We start from the raw sequence: 19,040 nt of genomic DNA on the forward strand, positions 1-19,040 counted from the left end.
AGTAAGCTACTGCTTTCCCAGCGCCTCTGCACCAGGAGGTGGGCAGGATGGCAGGTGACACCACCATAGCTCCCACTGCGGGGCACGAGGCTGCAGCCATTCCCAGCCTGCTCAGAGGGCAGGGTTCAACCACCTCCCCCTCCCCAGCAGAAAAGAGAGGAAACAGGTGCTTCAGCTGTTGTTTATTGACATACAGGTAGGCTCTATAGCAACAGGCCTGGAGGTGCTGCAGTAGTGGGGGAAAATGGAAGGTGGAGGGTGGAGTGTTTGCTGCAGGACAGCTGAGTGGAGGGTGGGGACAGGTGCAAACTGGAGAGGCCTAGAGAGCTAGAGAAGCAAGTAAGGGCCAGGGCCAGAGTCGGCTTCAATGGAACAACAGCCCAGTGCCCTAAGGCCCCTAACTCTTGCTGGCTGTTTCTTGACCCCAAGCCAGGGTTGGGAGTCCTCTGGGCATCCATTTTTTCTAAAGGAACTGGACAGAGTACACACAGGAAAGGAAGCTGTCACCCTCTTGCCATCTGGCTCCAGGGGCCTCCAGTCCAGCATTCCTCCTTCTTCCCTTGATTGGGTGGGGCCACATGATGGGCAGCCAGGCTCTGGGCTGTCCCACTAGAGCAGGCTGCAAACACAGCCATGTTTCAGTGAGGCGTTGATCTTCTTCCCTGGTGTCCCAACCTACCAGTGCCACGTTACAGCCCAGAGTGAGTTCTACAAGCGTTGCTGGCCTAATGGATGGGCTGGGGGAAGGGGGTGGGACAGGGGCTGGAGGAGGGGCTCTGGGGTCCATCACGGCACAGGAACAACACGCATGGTGTTGGTGAAGCCGGAGCCAGGGCGCCATCCGGTCAGCACAATGACCACATCTCCCTTCTTGAAGAAGCCTCGGGCCTTGCCTGGAGGAAGAGAAGGGAGGTTGGTGAGTAAAAGCCAAGCCAGGCAGGTTTGCACCTGGGCAGCTGCCCCATAGCCTGAGTACTGAACTAGGCTGGCTGACCACTACTTCCTCACACCACAAGGTGGCACCAAACTCACAGCCCAGGCAAACAGGAGGAAGGCCCTGAAATGTCCTTATCACTCAGATGGCAGGGTTGGCAGGGACCTTTGGACATCATTCACTATCCTGGAGAGGGTGCAAAGCCTTGCCCAGGGTCAGAGCTAGCTGCTTCCTGTCATCTGATGATACCCTACCTTATACAGGGACAATGGCCACATCAGTACGTAATCTGTGTATGCCACCCCACAGCACAGGAGCTGTGGCCAATTTTATTTAAAAAAAAAACAAAAAACAAAAAAAACTCTCAGTAATGAGCAGATGCCAAAAAATGGACAATTTTGCTTTGAGCCCCAGACTAGAAGAGAAGAGGAACTGAATTGCTCAGCCCTACAACTCAAAGGACCCTTTTCCCTCCTGGCTCAGCTTAGGACTTCGGAGAATGAGAGATTCAGAATGAACATTCCCAATAAGGGAGAGGAACAGTCGCTGGGCCTTTTGCCCCACTAAGGTCTGTGTGTTCCCCTTTCTATTCCCCAAACTTTCGGGGTCCCACAGAAGCCAATGCTCAAGCATCCCCAAGCTCCTCTAGGCTCTAGCCCCTGCTCCAGCCACGTACCAACATTCATGGCAAAGTTCACCCGGAGGTCCACGTCCTCAGCCCAGGCCTCCTGGACTGGGTCCTTGCACAGCACAGGGAAGATGCCACGGTACAGGTGGGCCTGACGAGCTGTCTGGGGATTCCGGGTCACAGCAATGATGGGGGCACGTGGGCGGTATCTGGCCACCTGGTGAGCAGACCTGAGATGGGATGGGGGACATACAGAAGAGACCATTACACGAGGCCCCAGGAAGTACCCTCAGGGCGTTCAAACAGCTCACCCTCTCATCCAGCTCACTGAGGGCTCTGGCCTCTTCAACATCTGCTCCCTAGGACCCCTCCCGAGGCTCGGGCAGCCCCTCATCCTATATCCCCCACAGCATGCTAGGTTACCATTTGCCCTCTACCCCCATTCCACAGGCCAAGGGCTCAGGATCACCTTGACCCAGCAAGATCAGCCTCACCCACTTACCCCACACAGCCCATGGTTGGCAGAACCCCTCCTACACCCTGAACTCTGACACAGAGAGGCAGCCCTGGCCCAATGTCACCAGCACCCATTCCTCTCGCTGCCAATGACAGTGACAAGCCAAGCAGCACGTGACTAGCACCTGACTCTTGACATCTGCAAGGAGCAGTAGCAGAGCTGACCAGCCCCCTGGGAATCAACATCAGGCTTCTCTACTTTTGTGCCCTCTCCCTGCCCCACATGGCCCCTAGCTCCTGAAACAGTCCCAGCAACTGGGCTATAAAGGCCCAGAATCAAATCTGAGTATCTAGATGAGGCTTAGAAATCTAGGTGCTACTCAGCAGGCAAGAACAGGAAATGGGAGTGTTGCTGCAGGAGCAGCTCTGCCTGCCAAAGCTCCTTTGGAAGGCAGGGGACCCTTCTAAAGCCCCTCTGCCAGGCACTTTCTTGAACACTGACACTGCACACTTGTAGCTGCAGCTGTGTCTCAGGAGCTGGGGAGGGGCACCAGAAGGGAAGTTATGAGGACACTCAACAGGTGTCAGGGAAACTTAAGCCACATCACAGCAGAGAAGTCCCTGCACTTCACGCTTGGCCTCTATGCAAGGCCTTCAGAGGGAAGCAATTGCTGAAGCCAGGACCAGCTGAGTGAAACCCCAGAAGACTAGAGCTTAAAATAGCCAAACAGCAAGAACTGGACCTTTTAAGAAAGGTCAACCCTACGGGTTGGAGCTGTTCAGCCAAGAGTGGGAGGCTGGAGCCCTCTGCTGAGGGCATCTGCACAGAGCTTGTGTCCTGGTTCTCTGGGCTGCCCACGCCCATCTGCTGCTCCTCAGTGCATGGGCACTGCCTGTTTGCTCCCCTCTTCCAGGAAACCCTTGCTGCCCTGTGGACAGGGACAAGGAGCATACTCCCTAACTAGGAGAGTGAAGGACATTAACTCAATGTCCTGGGCCAAGGAAGGGATCCCAAGTTGGAGGCCCAGCATAGGCCACACAGTCCTCAGCCTGGCTGCCAGGCCCCACAGAATGTCAGCCAAGATAGCACAGCAACCTCTCCTGAGCTGGAACCCAATTTGTCTTTAGGGCTCAAAAACAGCAGGGACTAGTGTGCCAAATGGAGGCACAGTAAACAGCATTTAAATAAATTCATTTCCCAACTGAAATTTTTAAAGAGCACATAGTAACTGGAATAAGCAAAAGTGGTTATCTTTTACAATTTTAGAGGACTAAATTTTCAATATCAAATAACCATTTGTAGTCAGCCTGTGCACTGTTATGTAATAAATCTCCAGCATAAATTTGCTTTTGATCCAAATGTTCTGACATTCCTTATGAGTGCTACCTAGAGTCCTTTGGGCCCAGGGAAGGGGCTCTGCTCAATCCTTCCCTGCAGGCCCAAGGTGGCAGGCAGAGGGGTCTTACCTTGGCTCAGTGCCACCTGAGCATTGTTCAATGGACTGCTCCCAGGACCCCCAAGGTGAGGTACCACTGAGCAGGGCATTCCAGGGAGCCGCTGCCGCCTCCTACCTGCCAGACTTGGTGAGGACGATTATGGCCCCACTGCAGCACTTGAAGGAGGCCTCCACGGCACCCACGGCGGTGGCTTCTGTGGGGTCGCTGGTAATGGGCGCCAGGCGGCGGAGTTCCTCAAATAATTGCAAGTGGTAGATGGCAGCCTCTGCCTCACGGGCAATCTAGGGGAGCAACATCCGTCCAGAGGGACGAGAGGGGGACAGAGCTTTGTCAGAGCTTTGTCACAAAAGGAGAGGGAGGGGAAGAGTCACCGGACAGCTGGTGAGGAACATGTTCCTGGGAACAAAGGCCAAGAGGAGCCCAATCACTGGAGATTCTGAGCTGAGCCAAGATCAAGACTCCACAGAAACCAGTCCTTCACCAAGTGCCTGTGACATCTACTGTGCCTACTGAGCCACAGGACCCTTTGGTCCTGCCCTGCCATGACCTCCCTGGCGGTGTTCCTACAGACGAGAAGAGGCTCTGTGCCCAGATGCCAGGTTGGGCCTGGCTGTCTTCTCCTAGAGCAGGTGGAGCAAGAGGCTGGTTATCCTAACAGTGTTACCTGCCCTTAGGGCCCTACCTGCCAGACTCCGTCAGAACTATCAAAGCTGCTGCTAAACACTTATAAGAAGCCTCCACGCTGCCCATGGCCATGGCTTCCATGAGGTCTGTGGAGTGACTTGAGGCTCGCACAAGTTCTTCAAACAGCTTGCGGTGGAACATGGCTGCCTCAGCCTCACGAGCTATCTGTAAGGTTTAGGGGAAGAGGGGGCAAGGAAGAGGGAAGGAGGAGGAAAAAAACGAGACACAACACATGGGAAGACAGAATGGGGAATTTATCAGAGAGGAAGGTAACCTTAGGTTAATTGGCTAAATCTGTCCTTCAGGCAGATGCAGAGGTAGGGTGATGAAAGTCCAACTGCTTCAGGAGGTGCTGCCACTTCCCCTCCAATACAGGGGAAATTGGCTCTTCCCTTCTGGAAGGATTTTTTCATTGGGGGTGGAGGGAGACAATCTGGCAGTAGGCTCTAGCACCCTGGCATGAAAACATGCCCAGGCTGGGCCCAGGCCACTCCCTGGCAGAGGACTTGACCACGCTGCCTCATGACATAGCTTACAGGAAGGAACAGGCCCTCCCTCCTCACATGGCTGGTTGATTAGGCAGGCTCCTGCCCAGCCTCCATGCATGCATGGAGTGAGCGCTCACTTGGCTTCAGGCACGGGGATGCACTGAGCCTTTCCAATGGCCTGCCATGGCAACAGATTGAGCAGCGCTGGAAAGCTGGGATCAAAGCCAAAGCAAGGCAGCTCAACTGAGTTTGAAGCAGGAGAACAGAAAACGTGGGCTAACTTGTGAGAGGCACACTGAACAGCCATGTGAAGAGACAGATGCCTGTGGAAGCATGCAGATATATTTAATAAGACACTTGATTAAAATCTAATAATTAAAACAGTCATGAGAAAGCCACTGAGTTATTTATAGATCACTTGCTCAGATAAGACCAAGAATCAGAAAGACAATGTAAGCTTTAGAGGATTATAATGCAATCACCAGCATCTCAGTAAATGATGGGTGAGGGAAGAATCGGTAATACCCCCTCATCAATTTCACAGTAGAAGCAGATGTGTGGCAGGATGTACTAGGTTAAAGGTATTCTTTCTGTAAGAACGGAATGCATGCAGCCCAGAGGACAGGGGACATGAACAGGAAACAGAGCCATACCTGGTACTGCTCTTAGTTATGGGTCATAAACTGCATCAGTTAGACACAGGAGAAAGCAGTGAACAGTTAATGGAAGGAACTGTTGGCCAGTGTTAACTGGTGACACAGAAAGGAAAGGTCTAGCCACCTGGAGGGGCAGCTACAGCCTAGCCCAGACCTGTAACTTATCTTCTGAGCAGTGCCATGCAATCCAAACCTTGCAGCCCTAAAGTATCTATCTGTTCATAGGAAACACCAGGGTATGGAAGAAAGGATATGGAATTTAGACCCTGAGCCTGAATCTTAGTCTCTGACCCCACTGACAGGCTCCAAATGGAGACCTGTTCTCATCTCCTGCTAGACAGAGCATGATGTTGCAGGAGAGAAGACTGGCTTTGGAGGCAGTAGACCTAGATTCAAACCCAGGCTTTATTGGCCATATAACCCTCATCTATAAATGGAGGTAATGGGAGTTAGGAAGATTACATCCATGTACACAGAGACTTATCAGACACTTAATAATAACAGCAATGAATATTTAATGCTAAGGCTATAATTAAACATATCTAATCCATTTTACAGATGAGGTCTTAAGAGGTTAAATGACTTGCCCAAAGACACATTCAAGTCCCCACATTCTATGCAGTGATTTCATGGTTCAGTATATCTAAGTCAAGATCAGCCTCTGTTCCTCCTTTGAGACCATGAAGTCACACGATTAAGTAGGGAAATTAGAGAGAGGGGATGTGTGGAGAGACCCAGAAAGGCAGCCACTTTAGTGGTGACTGGTTCAAGGTGCACCGTCTCCTGGGACACCTTCCTACCATGGTGGCAATTGTGAGACTGCGCCAAGAGTATCTAAGCATCAGAACAGCAATCACATCACACGAATGGTGAGGTGTCAGCCAGGCCCAGTCTACATTAAGTGGGCCTGGGAGAGAAATCACTCTCTACCGATTTTTTTGTTTTTTTTTTTATGTTTGTTTGGTTTCTTTTTTGAGACAGGGTGTCACTTTGTCACCTAGGCTGGTACCATCTTGGCTCACTGCAACCTCAACCTCCTGGGTTCAAGCGATCCTGCTGCCCCAGCATCACCCCCTCTCCAAGTAGCTGGGACTACAGAAGTGCATCACCATGCCCAGCTAGCTAACTTGAATTTTTAGTAGAGACAGGGTTTCACCAGGTTGCCCAGGCTGGTCTTCTGAGCTCAAGCAATCCACCTACCTTGGCCTCCCAAAGTACTGAGATTACAGGTGTGAGCCACCATCCCTGGCCTCTACCAATTTAAATATGGGGAAACCCACTAAGGATGCTGATGACAGACAGTCCGGAAAATATCCTTAGTCAAGTGTGAACTCAGTTCGCTACTGAAAGAGCATTTAATAGAAATGACATCTCTTCTCTGAAAGCTGTTTAAGCCCAGTAACAGGATACATAGTGAAAAAGGAAAGGAAGATGCCCAGACCAGATGGGTGTTTTAGTTTTTTTTTTTTTTTTTTTTTTCTGTTTTTTCTGGTGGCAGGGGGTGGCGTTTTAAACTTGGGGGCTTGGAGGGGCTGAGGTCAAAGGGCAGCGGGTCTTTCACTGGCTAGAAAGGGAATAGAAAGGCTGAAGGAAAACCATATCTGGATAAAGTTTAAGTTCACTGAGCATGACCTAAGACTACTGGGAGAAAGTTAATTTCCAGCACTCATTTTACCAAACCTATGTAACCCTGATCAGGGATCCCTGAGTTAGCTCCAGAGCTGGAACAGACAGGGCAAAGGGACTGAGCCTCCAACCCTGAGCAGTGGCCAGGCACTCGACATGACAAGCTGGAAGAGCCTGAAGAACGAGCTCTCAGAGGAGAAAGAAGGGAAAGAGCCTCCACGACTCCTCCAGACGCTCAGTCCAGGGCCGCCAGGGTCAGCCACCCTCCCCGCTGTCTCTATCTGTGGCCCTGCCACCAGTCACTCAACCCGACTTTTTGGTCTAGAGTAAGAGCAGCAGCTGTACCCCAATGGCACAGCAAAGCAAATCCCCCTACAGGCACCATGCAAGGCCAGCACAGGCAGCTCAGTGAAGGCAACAGACTCCAGTGCAGGTCCACAAGGGCCCCCTGCGGGAGCGCCTGTCTGCAGGATGCGGGGCAGAGGGAACTGAATTGGAAGCCAAAGGAAGAGGGCAGCTGGGAGCAGGAGCCCCTAGCCCTTTTCAGAATAGGGCAAAGGTACTCAGAACTTCTGACTCTGAGGAAGAGGTACAAGACCTCCTTTCACTGCAGAAGTATCCCAGGACTTAAGCCATGGGAAGAATTCACAACCTTGAAGTCAGAAGTGAAATAAACTGTGTGGTGTCCAATGAAGGAGGATGCCTCCAGAGCAGAAGGAAATGGAGGGGTGGGGGTGTGGGCAGGAATGCAGAACAGGAGAAAAAAAAAAGCCACCTCCACTTCCACCCCCACCCTCTTGCTGCTGTAACTTGGAGGATAATGAAAGGCTGTGCATAAGAGGATGGAGAAACCTAAAAAGCTCTGCACCAGAGCTTGCATCCATCCCAGGCCCAGTCCGAAGCCCTGGGGGATGGGGCAGGCCCCAGAACTCACCAGGTGCTGCATGCGCACAGCCTCCAGAGGATAGTCCCCTTTGGCTGTTTCTCCAGACAGCATGATGCAGTCGGCTCCATCCAGGACTGCATTGGCCACATCACTGCCTTCAGCCCGAGTGGGGCGGGGCTTCTTGATCATGCTCTCCAGCATCTGGGAGGGGACAGAGCATTAGTGAGATGTAGCTTGAGCTGTCTTCAGAGACAAATGACAGCAAGCTGATCCTCTGGATAGTGAGTAGGTACACAGAGTATGGCTTTGTGTAGGTACATGGGGGAAGGGGATTATCTGTGTGTTACGTGCGACAATTCCATGGGAAGAGATCAGACAGCCTCCAGAGCTTTCCCATACAAACATGCGAGTGTGCACATGAGAATGTGGGGAAGGGTGGGCACATGCCTGAGTAGCACAGATGACAGGCTTCCCAGCTCGGTTGCACCGTCCAATCATCATCTTCTGAGCAAGGAAGACCTTCTCTGCAGGAATCTCAATGCCTAGATCACCACGAGCCACCATGATCCCATCACTGGCCTCCAGGATTTCATCAAACCTGATGGACAAAGTTGGGGGGAGAGAGGTTATATAGAACAGAGGCCACAAGTATGGCAGTAGACAAGAAGTTTCCCTGGGATTCCCTAACTTAGATGTCCTTGTACCAGGACAGACATCCATGATATCATCATGGGTGCACACAGATGGCAAGGCAGTCCAGCTACCTTAGGCCCCCAGAGTGGGCCAACAATTCTGCCTGCTGGGCTTCAACACCAATATGGATGCTTCATTGACGGAAGAAAGGGGAGAGGGCAAATCCAAATGGGCTCATTCCCAAGGTCTCCTCTCCAAATCCCATGCATGTTAGGGGTCTCTCTAGGGCCTCCATTTTCCAATCAGCACTTCAAGACAGGGAACCTGAGGCCTGATGACTGCTTCCACCACAAAGACCCATGGCCTCATCTAGTCAAGGACACTTGAGGACTGCCCTTTGAGGTGGCCCACTCCAACCTGCTGAAGGCAAGAGGGAATGTGGCTTTGCCTGGCCTAGGGCCAAGTTCAGCTAGCCTATGGCTTATCAGGATGGCAAAGGGGAGGACCCCAAATTGCCTGGTACAGAGGATATCTACACAAAGCTCAGACAGTAAGGCCACTACAGTGGGTGCACAGGGTTGCTCCCCCACCCTCCCCAAACACACTTCTAATCCACAAGAGTGTGTCTAGCATCTTAGTTGTGCTGAGTTGTATTCCTAGCAGGATGCCAAAAATGGTGGCCATGCCCACTGGGCTCTACTTTGTGAGCATTGGGGAGGGGGTAAGCTAAGTTGGGGCAATCTGAAACTGGAGAAGAACCACACATCTTCCTCTGAGAGTGGAATGGACCATACCAGAGTTAGCATGATCACTGAGCCAGCTGCATTCTAAGTGAAGACCAGGAGGCCATAAGCTTTAACATGGACACCAGGCCCTGAAATTCCACATGGCTCCCCAGGAAGGGCCAAAAAGAGCCCTTTCTTAAGTGTCTGCTGTCATCTTTCCCCCTGGTCCCCCCATTCCAGCAAACACTGGTAGTGTTTCTGATCAGGAACAGAACATCATGGCCCCTGGTCCTGTGAGCAGTGACCCTGTTCTCTCAAATGTTGGTCCCCAGGCCCAGGGAACAATGTCAAGCTGCCAGCATCTCAATTACCTGGGAAGCTTTTTTTTAAAAAAAACAAAAAAACAAAAACAAAAAAACATAATGCCTTCTACTCTCCTAAGATATTCTGATTCAGCAGGTTTGGAACTGGCTTGGGAGTCTACATTCTGATGGGCTAGGGGCTGGGAATCAGACATTCACAGGATGGACCATGCCCTTCGGAGAGCTGCGCTGGGACTGGAGCAGGGACAACGGGGACTTGCCTCCGAACCCCCTCATGATTCTCGATTTTGCTGATAATCTTGATGTTCTTTCCCTTCTCTCCCAGGACCTTCCTAACTTCATGGACATCAGATGCCTTGCGGATGAATGACGCAAACACCATATCAACATCCTGCTCGACCCCAAACTTCAGATCCTGGATGTCCTTCTCCGACACAGCAGGCAAGTCCACAGCAGCCCCAGGAAGGTTCACACCCTTCTTGCTGCCCAAGGAGCCACCATTTTCCACCTCCGTCACCAGGAAGTCGGCACCTGTATGAAAAAGGGTAAGTAGGGGAGGCAGAGCACGAGGGCACAGGTCAACAGGAAGCAGGCACCTTTCCCGCAAGGACAGTGAGCTGGGAAGTGGTGCATTATGGGTGCTGGAGCTGTTTTACCAGAGTTGAAAACCTACTACACTGTGTAATCCTGGGCAAGCCATTTAACCTCTCTGTACCTCACTTTCCTCACCCATAAATAAGGATAATTAAGACTGTTCTGACTTTGGGAGGCCAAGGCAGGCAGATCACCTGAGGTCAGGAGTTTGAGACCAGCCTGGCCAACATGGCAAAACGCCATCTCTACTAAAAATACAAAAAAATTAGCCGGGTGTGGTGGCGGGTGCCTGTAATCCCAGCTACTCAGGAGGCTGAGGTAGGAGAATAGCTAGAACTCTGGAGGCAGAGGTTGCAGTGAGCCAAGATCATGCCACTGCACTCCAGCCTGGGCAACAGAGCGAGACTCTGTCTTGAAAACAAAACAAAACACAGCGAAACAAATATATATATATATATATATATATATATATATATATATATATATGTATATATATATATATATGTATGTATGTTCCTGTGTTCTCCAGAACCAGAAGAATGTAACTATGCTGGATTAAAGCCTATCTTTGAGGATAAATGAGTTATAAAAGGGATTCCTGAGAACACACAGACTCAATCTCACTGCCAGGCAACCAACCTTCCCATCTTCCTTGTGTCAAGGAAGTTTAGAGACAAAAGACTGTTTTAGACAACTGGACTCCAGCTCCCATACGTACCTTTCTGCTTCACCTGGAGAGAAATAAGCCCATCATCCACGTAGATCTTGCTGCCCACTTCCACCACCTTGCAGATGTTCTTGTAGTCCAGCCACAGGATGTTCTCGTCACACTTTTCCATGTAGGCGTTATCCAGCGTGATTTTGAGAGTGGCTCCCTTCTTCAGCTCCACCTCTGCAGTGCCGCTCTAGGGACAAGAGAGTAAGCAAGAGTCCAAACTGGAGACACCAGTAGCAGCATCACCTCAGAAGGAATGGAAAAGCTCTTTCCTCCCGGGAACAATGCTCAAGTCACTGCTAAAAGTAATACAGTTTTTTGCTCTTATTCTCTAACTCTGTATACTTCACGGAAATAATCCAAGAAAAGAATATGTTTCAGTTATGCTACTTAATGATGGGGAAAAAGATACAAAGAGATGGTTCTCCAAGTTAGAAAGCCTAAAGTTTAGGTTTTTAGGGTAAAAAAAAAAGGTTCCTTTGTGGTACCATTTCCTAGCAAAGTAGATCAAATCAACATTGTTTACAGTGATGAATAAATCCTCATTTGTAGACCTCAACTCCTCTGCAGTCCTTCATAGTACTGGGAAGAAACATGGCAACCCAGCGCTTTGGAGGACATGTCTCTGGGGCATATTGCCTACTGAGCCTTCCCCTCGCTCTCCGCAGAATACTCACGCCCTTGATGAGCCCAGTTCGGATCTCAGGTCCTTTAGTGTCTAGAGCCACAGCAACGGGCCGGTAGAGGATGGGGTCAGAAGCAAAGCTTTCCGTGGCTGTGCGCACATTCTTGATGGTCTCCGCATGGTACTGGGGGAAAAGAAGGAAGATGACAAGCGTGCTCCCACACTAGAATCCAGCTCCAATTCCCCTGCCCAGGAGCCAAAGCTGATCACTCAGGAAAGGCCCGTGGATGTCTTAGAGCTCTATCTCCATCCTCAGCACGATCCATGCACTGAGAAATCCTCTACCTGCTTAATCCAACCTCCTCAGCCTCCACCCACTTCTACTACAGCACTAATTCACCCAAAGGGCAAATCTTTGAAATGTAGGTGGCAAATTTCAGAATATTGCCACCAAAACCCATTAAGGTATGGGTGCAAACATGTCTCATCATAAAAGCAGCTGTGTCCCCAGGGCTGTTCTTTTTTCCCTAAGACTCATCAAATACCCTCAGCATATAAAGCTCATAAACAGGGCAAAAAGCCTAGGACTTGTGTTTGGATAAGGCTGGTCTGGCAATCAATGTCACATTCTGATATATGTGGTAATGCTGAGAGCTTTTCCTCTATTGATTCCAACTACAACGCAAACTTGAAGTTATTGACTTAAGCTAACAGTGGCCCAAGCTAAATAACTCATTGCTAAGGTCACACAGACCTGATTTTCTCAATCGCTTTGTTTTTTTTTTTTTTGAGACAGAGTCTTGCTCTGTCGCCCAGGCTGGAGTGCAGTGGCACTATCTAGGCTCACTGCAAGCTCCACCTCCCAGGTTCACGCCATTCTCCTGCCTCTCAGCCTCCCGAGTAGCTGGGACTGCAGGCGCCCACCACCACGCCTGGCTAACTTCTTCGATTTTTAGTAGAGACGGGGTTTCACCATGTTAGCCAGGATGGTCTCGATCTCCTGATCTCGTGATCCGCCCACCTCGGCCTCCCAAAGTGCTGGGATTACAGGCGTGAGCCACTGCGCCCGGCCTCAATCACTTTCTAGATTCTGATTGGAGGGGGAAAGGTGGTCATATGCCTTTCTCTAAATGAACTGCCCTTTATTACTCCTTGCTTACAACAAATCCTGGCTTCAATCTTTTTTCTTAAGCCTTTCCTCCTTTCCATTTACCATTTTGTTTGTTTAAAAGAGGGACTCAGGCTAAGCACAGTGGCTCATGCCTATAAACCAAACACTTTGGGAGGCTAAGGTGGGAGGACAGTTTGGGCCAGGAGTTTGAGATGAGCCTGGGCAACATGGCGAAACCTCGTCTCTACAAAAAACACAAAAATTAACTGTGCATGATGGTGCGTGCCTGGGGTCCCAGCTACTTGTGAGGCTGAGGTGGGTTATGTCTAGGAGGTCAAGGCTACAGTGAGCCATGATCACACCACTGCACTCCGGCCTGGATAACAAAGCAACACCCTATCTCAAGAAAAAAAAAAAAAAAAGACGCAGAGCCAAGATGTCAAAAGAGCTCTAAGATAGTGTCATCAATAAGACATTAGCGGTAACAAGGGCACCTAATTCAGCACTTTCTGGGCCTTGTCCTTTAACCACCACTGTCCAGGAAAGTGGCACCTGCAAGTAAGCCTGCCTGTTATTCACAGGAGGCTGGAGGGAGCTGGAGCCAGAGCCTAGCCTCTAAAGACAGTGTTGCCTGAAACCTGTGTCTAAAAATCTTCAGCTTCTTATTCAGGCATACTTCCTAATGACAGACCCTTGGCTTGTCTGTTTTTTATAGGGTTCCTTATAAATTATGATATTTTCTTGCTTACTGGCTTGTAATAGAAATAGAACAAAATAGAATAGAATAGAGGCTGGGCGCGGTGGCTCACACCTGTCATCTAAACACTTTGGAAGGCCAAGGCGGGTGGATCATGAGATCAAGAGATTGACAACAACCAGGCCAACATGGTGAAACCTCGTCTCAACTTAAAATACAAAAATTAGCTGGGCGTGGTGGCGTGCACCTGTAGTCCCAGCTATTCAGGAGGCTGAGGCAAGAGAACCACTTGAACCTAGGAGGCAGAAGTTGCAGTGAGCCGAGATCGTGCCACTGCACTCCAGCCTGGGCGACAGACAGAGTGAGATTCCGTCTCTAAAAGAAAAAAAAAAAAAAGAATAGTAATAGTTGTTTTCTTTTAAGGGGATAGGTGGTGCCTTTCCTTCAGAGTTGACGTGAGGAGTAAAAGAATACATGAAGTATTAGGACAAAGTACATGGTAATTATCTAATAAATGTTACCTATTATCATCTTATAATGATAAGACTCAGGTGTACTGAGTTCCACTACAGCTGTGGCTTTGTTGGGATGTTATCACGTGGATAAGAGTTCCACACATCAATGCTGTCCTGCGGAAGGCTCTATATTTAGCTATATTTAGGTTGTTTAAAAGTCAACCTTAACTCAGGCCAGGCGCAGTGGCTCACGCCTGTAATCCCAGCACTTTGGGAGGCCGAGGAGGGGGGATCACAAGGTCAGGAGATCGAGACCATCCTGGCTAACATGGTGAAACCCCGTCTCTACTAAAAGTACAAAAACAAAATTAGCCGGGCGTGGTAGCAGGCGCCTGTAGTCCCAGCTACTCGGGAGGCTGAGGCAAGAGAATGGTGTGAACCCGGAAGGCAGAGGTTGCAGTGAGCCGAGATCGTGCCACTGCATTCCAGCCTGGGTGACAGAGCGAGACTCCGTCTCAGAAGAAAAAAAAAAAAATGTCAACCTTAACTCTACTTAATCCCGATGTAGAATTTTGTTCTCCTAGAATAAAATCTACTTGGTCATGGATCAAGACATTCCTTTCAATCACTACTGGATTTGGATTATTAAATTTTATTTGTTTTCTGCATCTAAGTGAGACTGGTCTAGCACACTAACTGTTAGTACCTGCCTGGTTTTGGTACTGTCCTTGTTTGATCTCAGTATCAGCGTATATTGGTTTCAAAGAACACAGTGGGAAGATTTCTATATTTCTCTAGGCTCTGGAACAGTTTAACAATGTAACTGAACTTTGAAGGGGAGACAATTCAGCCACTAAAATCATTTGGACTTAAGTGTTCTGAGGTGAACCAGATCTTAATCACTTTTTCAACTTTTTGGCTGGAGTGCAGTGGCGCGATCTTGGCTCACTGTAGCCTCCACCTCTCAGGTTCAAGCGATTCTCCTGCCTCAGGCTCCCGAGTAGCTGGGACTGCAGGCATGTGCCACCATGCCCAGCCAATTTTTGTATTTTTAGTAGAGACAGGGTTTCACCATGTTGGCCAGGCTGGTCTCGAACTCCTGACCTCAAGTGATCCCTCCGCCTTGGCCTCCCAAAGTGCTGGGATTGCAGGTGTGAGCCACCGCACGCCCAGCCCACTTTTTCAACTTCTTATGGCCACTGGTCTATTCATATTTTCTATCTTTTGGATATTTATCTTTTCTTTGAAAATAGCCAGAGTCATCTCTCTATATAGGAATTAAGTTATAAGTCTTTCTTGACTTTTAAAATCTCCAATGTGTAGGAAATATTCTCTTTTCTATTCATACTCTTATTTGCACATCCTCGCATTCTTCACCTGGCTTCTCAGAACTTTCTATTTTACTATTTTTTCCCCACAAAGAATCAGCTCTTAGCTTAATCTGTCAAATTTATTTTCATTTCATTGAGCTATAATCTTACAAAATTATTTTCTTCACCCTTTTTAGGGTTTTCCTCCCCTAGTGTTCTGAGTTAAATATTTATTTCATCTACCTTGAGATCTTTGCTTTCTAAAGTAAGCACACTTCAGTTTTCTTGACTTTGTTCTTAATTTCCACTAAAAAATTTTATCAGAGAATGTGTCTGTATAATTTCTACTTTATGAAACGTGGGGGTTTTTTTGGTGGCCTAATATATTTTTGTAACCATGAGTGTTTCATGCAAACATGCATTTTTGGTCTTGGGGATGTAAAACCATATATTATAAACATACCAATTATTAGGTATATTATTCAAATCTATGTCATATATCATAATCTCTTAGAGCATCTCTGGGAGGTGTACTGAGTCTTCCACTTCAGCTGTGGCTTTATTGGGATGTTATGTGGTAAAGCATCCATCAATGCTGTCCTGTGGAAGGCTCTACATTTAGGTTGTTTAAAAGTCATTATTTCTAGGCCAGGTGTGGTGGCTCACGCCTGTAATCCCAGCAATTTGGGAGGCCAAGGCGGATGGATCACTTGAGGTCAGGAATTCGAGATCAGCCTGGCCAACAAGGTGAAACCAAGTCTCTACTAAAATACAAAAATTAGTCGGGTGTGGTGGCAGGTGCCTGTAATCTCAGATACTTAGGAGGCTGAGGCAGAAGAATCTCTTGAACCCAGGAGGCAGAGGTTGCAGTGAGCCAAGATCGTGCCACTGCACTCCAGCCTGGATGACAGAGCGAGACTCCCTCTCTAAATAAATAAATAAATAAATAAATAAATCTGGAAAACATGGCATATGGAACCACATGTTCAGCAAGAATGCATCTTGCCCATGTGAACTGCCAAAAGTGAGGGCTGAAGACTAGTTGCCAAAGCTGTTAAAAGAGGGCTGGGCGTGGTGGCTCACGCCTTTAGGAGGCCGAGGCAGTCGGATCACCTGAGGTCACAAGTTCAAGACCAGCCTGGCCAACATGGCGAAACCCCGTCTCTACTAAAAATATAAAAAAATTAGCTGGGCGTGGTGGCACAGGTCTGTAATCCCAGCTACTCAGGAGGCTGAGGTATGAGAATTGCTTGAACCTGGGAGGCAGAGGTTGTGGTGAGCAGAGATTGTGCCAGTGCACTCCAGCCTGGGCAACAGAGCAAGATTCTGTCTCAAAAAAAAAAAGCTGTTAAAAGATCAGATGCAGACATTTGATGTCCCTCTGTCAGAGTGAGAGGGAAGACAGTAATCTCAACGTTCTGCTCAGAAGAGCATTTAAAATAGTCAGAAACTGGAAAAGTACGCCCCAGCCCCTAGTCAAAGGTGCACATGAAACGATAGCCCTGACGTATGGTAAGGCTGAAACTGTTTACATTACATTATATAAATTAGAATAATTTCAGATCAGTTTCCAAGCTGAGCCCACACACAACCTCATCTTGGTCTAAAACTTCAAAATGAACACACAAGAGGGACATCTTTAAAAAATAAATAGATAAAAAATAAAAAATAAATCTTAATTATAATCTGGGAATAGGAGTGAAAGTAGAGATAATCTCCAAAAGCCTCTTAAAGTTTAAAATACCAAAATCGGAGCCAGCTCTCATCCAGCAGGTGTGGCAGGTATCACTCGCCCTTGCCATGTTAGAGCTATGTGGTGTTATTTTACTGGATGAAGGAACCATAAAGCCTACTTAAAGGTCAACTTCTTAAAAATCTATTTCTGCTCCTTCCCCTGAATGCAGGAGCCCATGGCAGACTACAGCAGCAGGGATCAACAGCGAACAGACCTCCAGCATTGTCTTCAGCTCTCTCTAAGCTAAGCTAACACTTAATTCTCTAACAAGTAATTCTCGGTGACTCCTGCTAAGGACCCCTTGCTTTTGGAAAACTACAGAATTTTCCAAAAGGTACAGGGACATGTCTTAACCTACATGGTATGTCTGCTGGACTTGGTCAGGTCCCCATGACATTTAAGGGCCAGCCACTAGCCAGGCCATAGGCTGTTTATGAACACAGGTTAGGGAATCTATGATGAAGAGTCTTGTGTTTCCCAAAAGGAGGAATTCACTCTTGGATTGCATTTCCTGAGGCTTTATTTTTAGTCCAAACTTAATACCAACTTCCAAATGCCAGAGGGCAACCTCTGTAAGGCAATTGGCCTTACAGGATAGCATTTTCTTTACTCTCAACAGGAAATACAGAAGCCAAGACAGGTGCAAAGTTTGCCTCTTCTGTAATTCCTCTTATCAATGCCATTACGAAATCCCATGATCTATGGGAAACCTATGGTTAAGTCTGAAGGTTTTAAAAAGGCACAATCCCAGGCTGAGCATGGTAGCTCATTCCTGTAATCCCAACATTTGAGAGAATCACTTGAGCCCAGGAGTTTGAGACCAGCCAAGGCAATATAGTGAGACCTCATTTCCCCCAAAAAAATTTTTAAATTAGCCAGGTGTGGTGGTGCATGCCTGTATTCCCAGCTACTCGGGAGGCTGAGGCAAGAGGATCACTTGAACCTGGGAGGTCAAGGATCCAGTTAGCCATAATCATACCACTGCAGTCCAGCCTGGATGACAGAGCAAAATTTTGTTTTATAAAATAAAAAAATAAATAAGTCATGGTACCTCAGGGAACCCCAAGCTCCTCAGAATGGGTTAATTCTAAATCTGGCAATGGAGGCAGGAATGGAGCCATCCCAACAGCTGCTACCTGGCTCCTGGGCAAGGCCTCTGTCCATAGGTAAAGCCAGCTAATAAAGAGCCCAGCACAAATACAGTCCTACTAGGCTCCTGGGGAAGAGTGCTAACTGGTGTTATTTTAATGTACCAGAACCCCTGGGAAGGCACAGGCTGAGAATACAGTGCTGAGGAAGTGGGGTATTACACCCCAGATAGTGCTTATGCATTAGGCTCAGTCCCTCAAAACTTAGAATAGTGGAAACCGTTCTCATGGACCTGCCCAGTTATTTTGGTTCTAAGCTAGAATCAATCTGCTAGATGGTTTACCATGGCAACACAAGGTGAAGCAGAAACCCTGGGACAGGAGAGTCAAGCGCTGTGGCCAGGACACCTAAGGCTTAGAGGGTTTTCCAGTAGAACCTTTCCATATCTTCCTTTGTAAAAGCTAAGGGTAGGAGAGGTGTGTGGGAGAACCACAGCCAGCAACAAAGGGGGTCCTTTTTGCTAAAAGAGACTCAGCCAGTTGCTTTGTCAGGACAAGAGGGAAGGAGAGTAGGGATGGGCTAGTAAAGACAAACTTCACACTGACTGTGAAACTCAGACTCATCCTTGTCTAGTCCACTGTGGCTAAACGAACACTGCACCCCCTCCCTGTTTCCTACAGGCCATCACAATGGCCATAGGGTCCAGCCACAGCTCACCTCATGAGTTCCATGAGAGAAGTTCAGACGAGCCACATTCATTCCAGACTTAATCATCTCCTTCAACGTCTCCACTGATCGGGAAGCTGGGCCTATTAGGAAAAGTTTTAAAGCCACAAGTATTAATTATTCAAAGAAGGAAAAACATTTAAGTTTGCTTAAGTTTAAAGAATTTTTTTCCCTGAAAACTTTTCCTCTCCCAAATAGCTCAAAAGTCTTTAAAAAGTGCATGGAAGGCTACTACCGTGCCAGCTTACTTTCTTGATCTACTGGGACACTTCGACCATTTCCTTCAAGTTCTGCAGGCTCCCACTGTATCAGAAAAGCCTAGGTTAAGACTTGGCCAGCCTTCTCCACCCTCACTGAAACCCAGCCAGATGTCCAACCACAGAATCTTGGTAGCACAGAACATGTTAGAAAGATCTTTCCTAGGTCTTTAAGTTGCTCCTACAAAGACCTGCTAAGGAAAACATCTTCTAAATTTTGCCTATAGCA

The 19,040-nt window shown here is 48.3% G+C and overlaps 1 protein-coding gene across 17 annotated transcripts in view; it reads right to left on the reverse strand.

Moving 5' to 3' along the window:
* PKM (pyruvate kinase M1/2) overlaps positions 166 to 19,040 on the reverse strand; it is a 32,563-nt gene continuing 13,688 nt past the window's right edge. For 8 of the 17 annotated variants that reach the window (XM_005254445.6, NM_002654.6, XM_011521670.2 and 5 more), the window contains 9 exons: positions 18,546 to 18,637; positions 11,484 to 11,615; positions 10,810 to 10,996; positions 9,758 to 10,028; positions 8,264 to 8,414; positions 7,865 to 8,017; positions 3,591 to 3,757; positions 1,611 to 1,792; positions 166 to 893 (listed from right to left, as the gene is read on the reverse strand). In XM_005254445.6, coding sequence (XP_005254502.1) covers positions 787 to 893; positions 1,611 to 1,792; positions 3,591 to 3,757; positions 7,865 to 8,017; positions 8,264 to 8,414; positions 9,758 to 10,028; positions 10,810 to 10,996; positions 11,484 to 11,615; positions 18,546 to 18,637 — 1,442 coding nt within the window. In that variant the 3' untranslated portion in view covers positions 166 to 786. Of the gene's footprint in view, positions 894 to 1,610; positions 1,793 to 3,590; positions 3,758 to 4,158; positions 4,326 to 7,864; positions 8,018 to 8,263; positions 8,415 to 9,757; positions 10,029 to 10,809; positions 10,997 to 11,483; positions 11,616 to 18,545; positions 18,638 to 19,040 lie in introns of all 17 variants that reach the window. The other 9 variants (NM_182471.4, NM_182470.4, NM_001316318.2 and 6 more) reach the window with 3 other exon arrangements.

Source organism: Homo sapiens, chromosome 15, assembly GCF_000001405.40.
Source record: "Homo sapiens chromosome 15, GRCh38.p14 Primary Assembly".
NCBI lineage: Eukaryota > Metazoa > Chordata > Mammalia > Primates > Hominidae > Homo > Homo sapiens.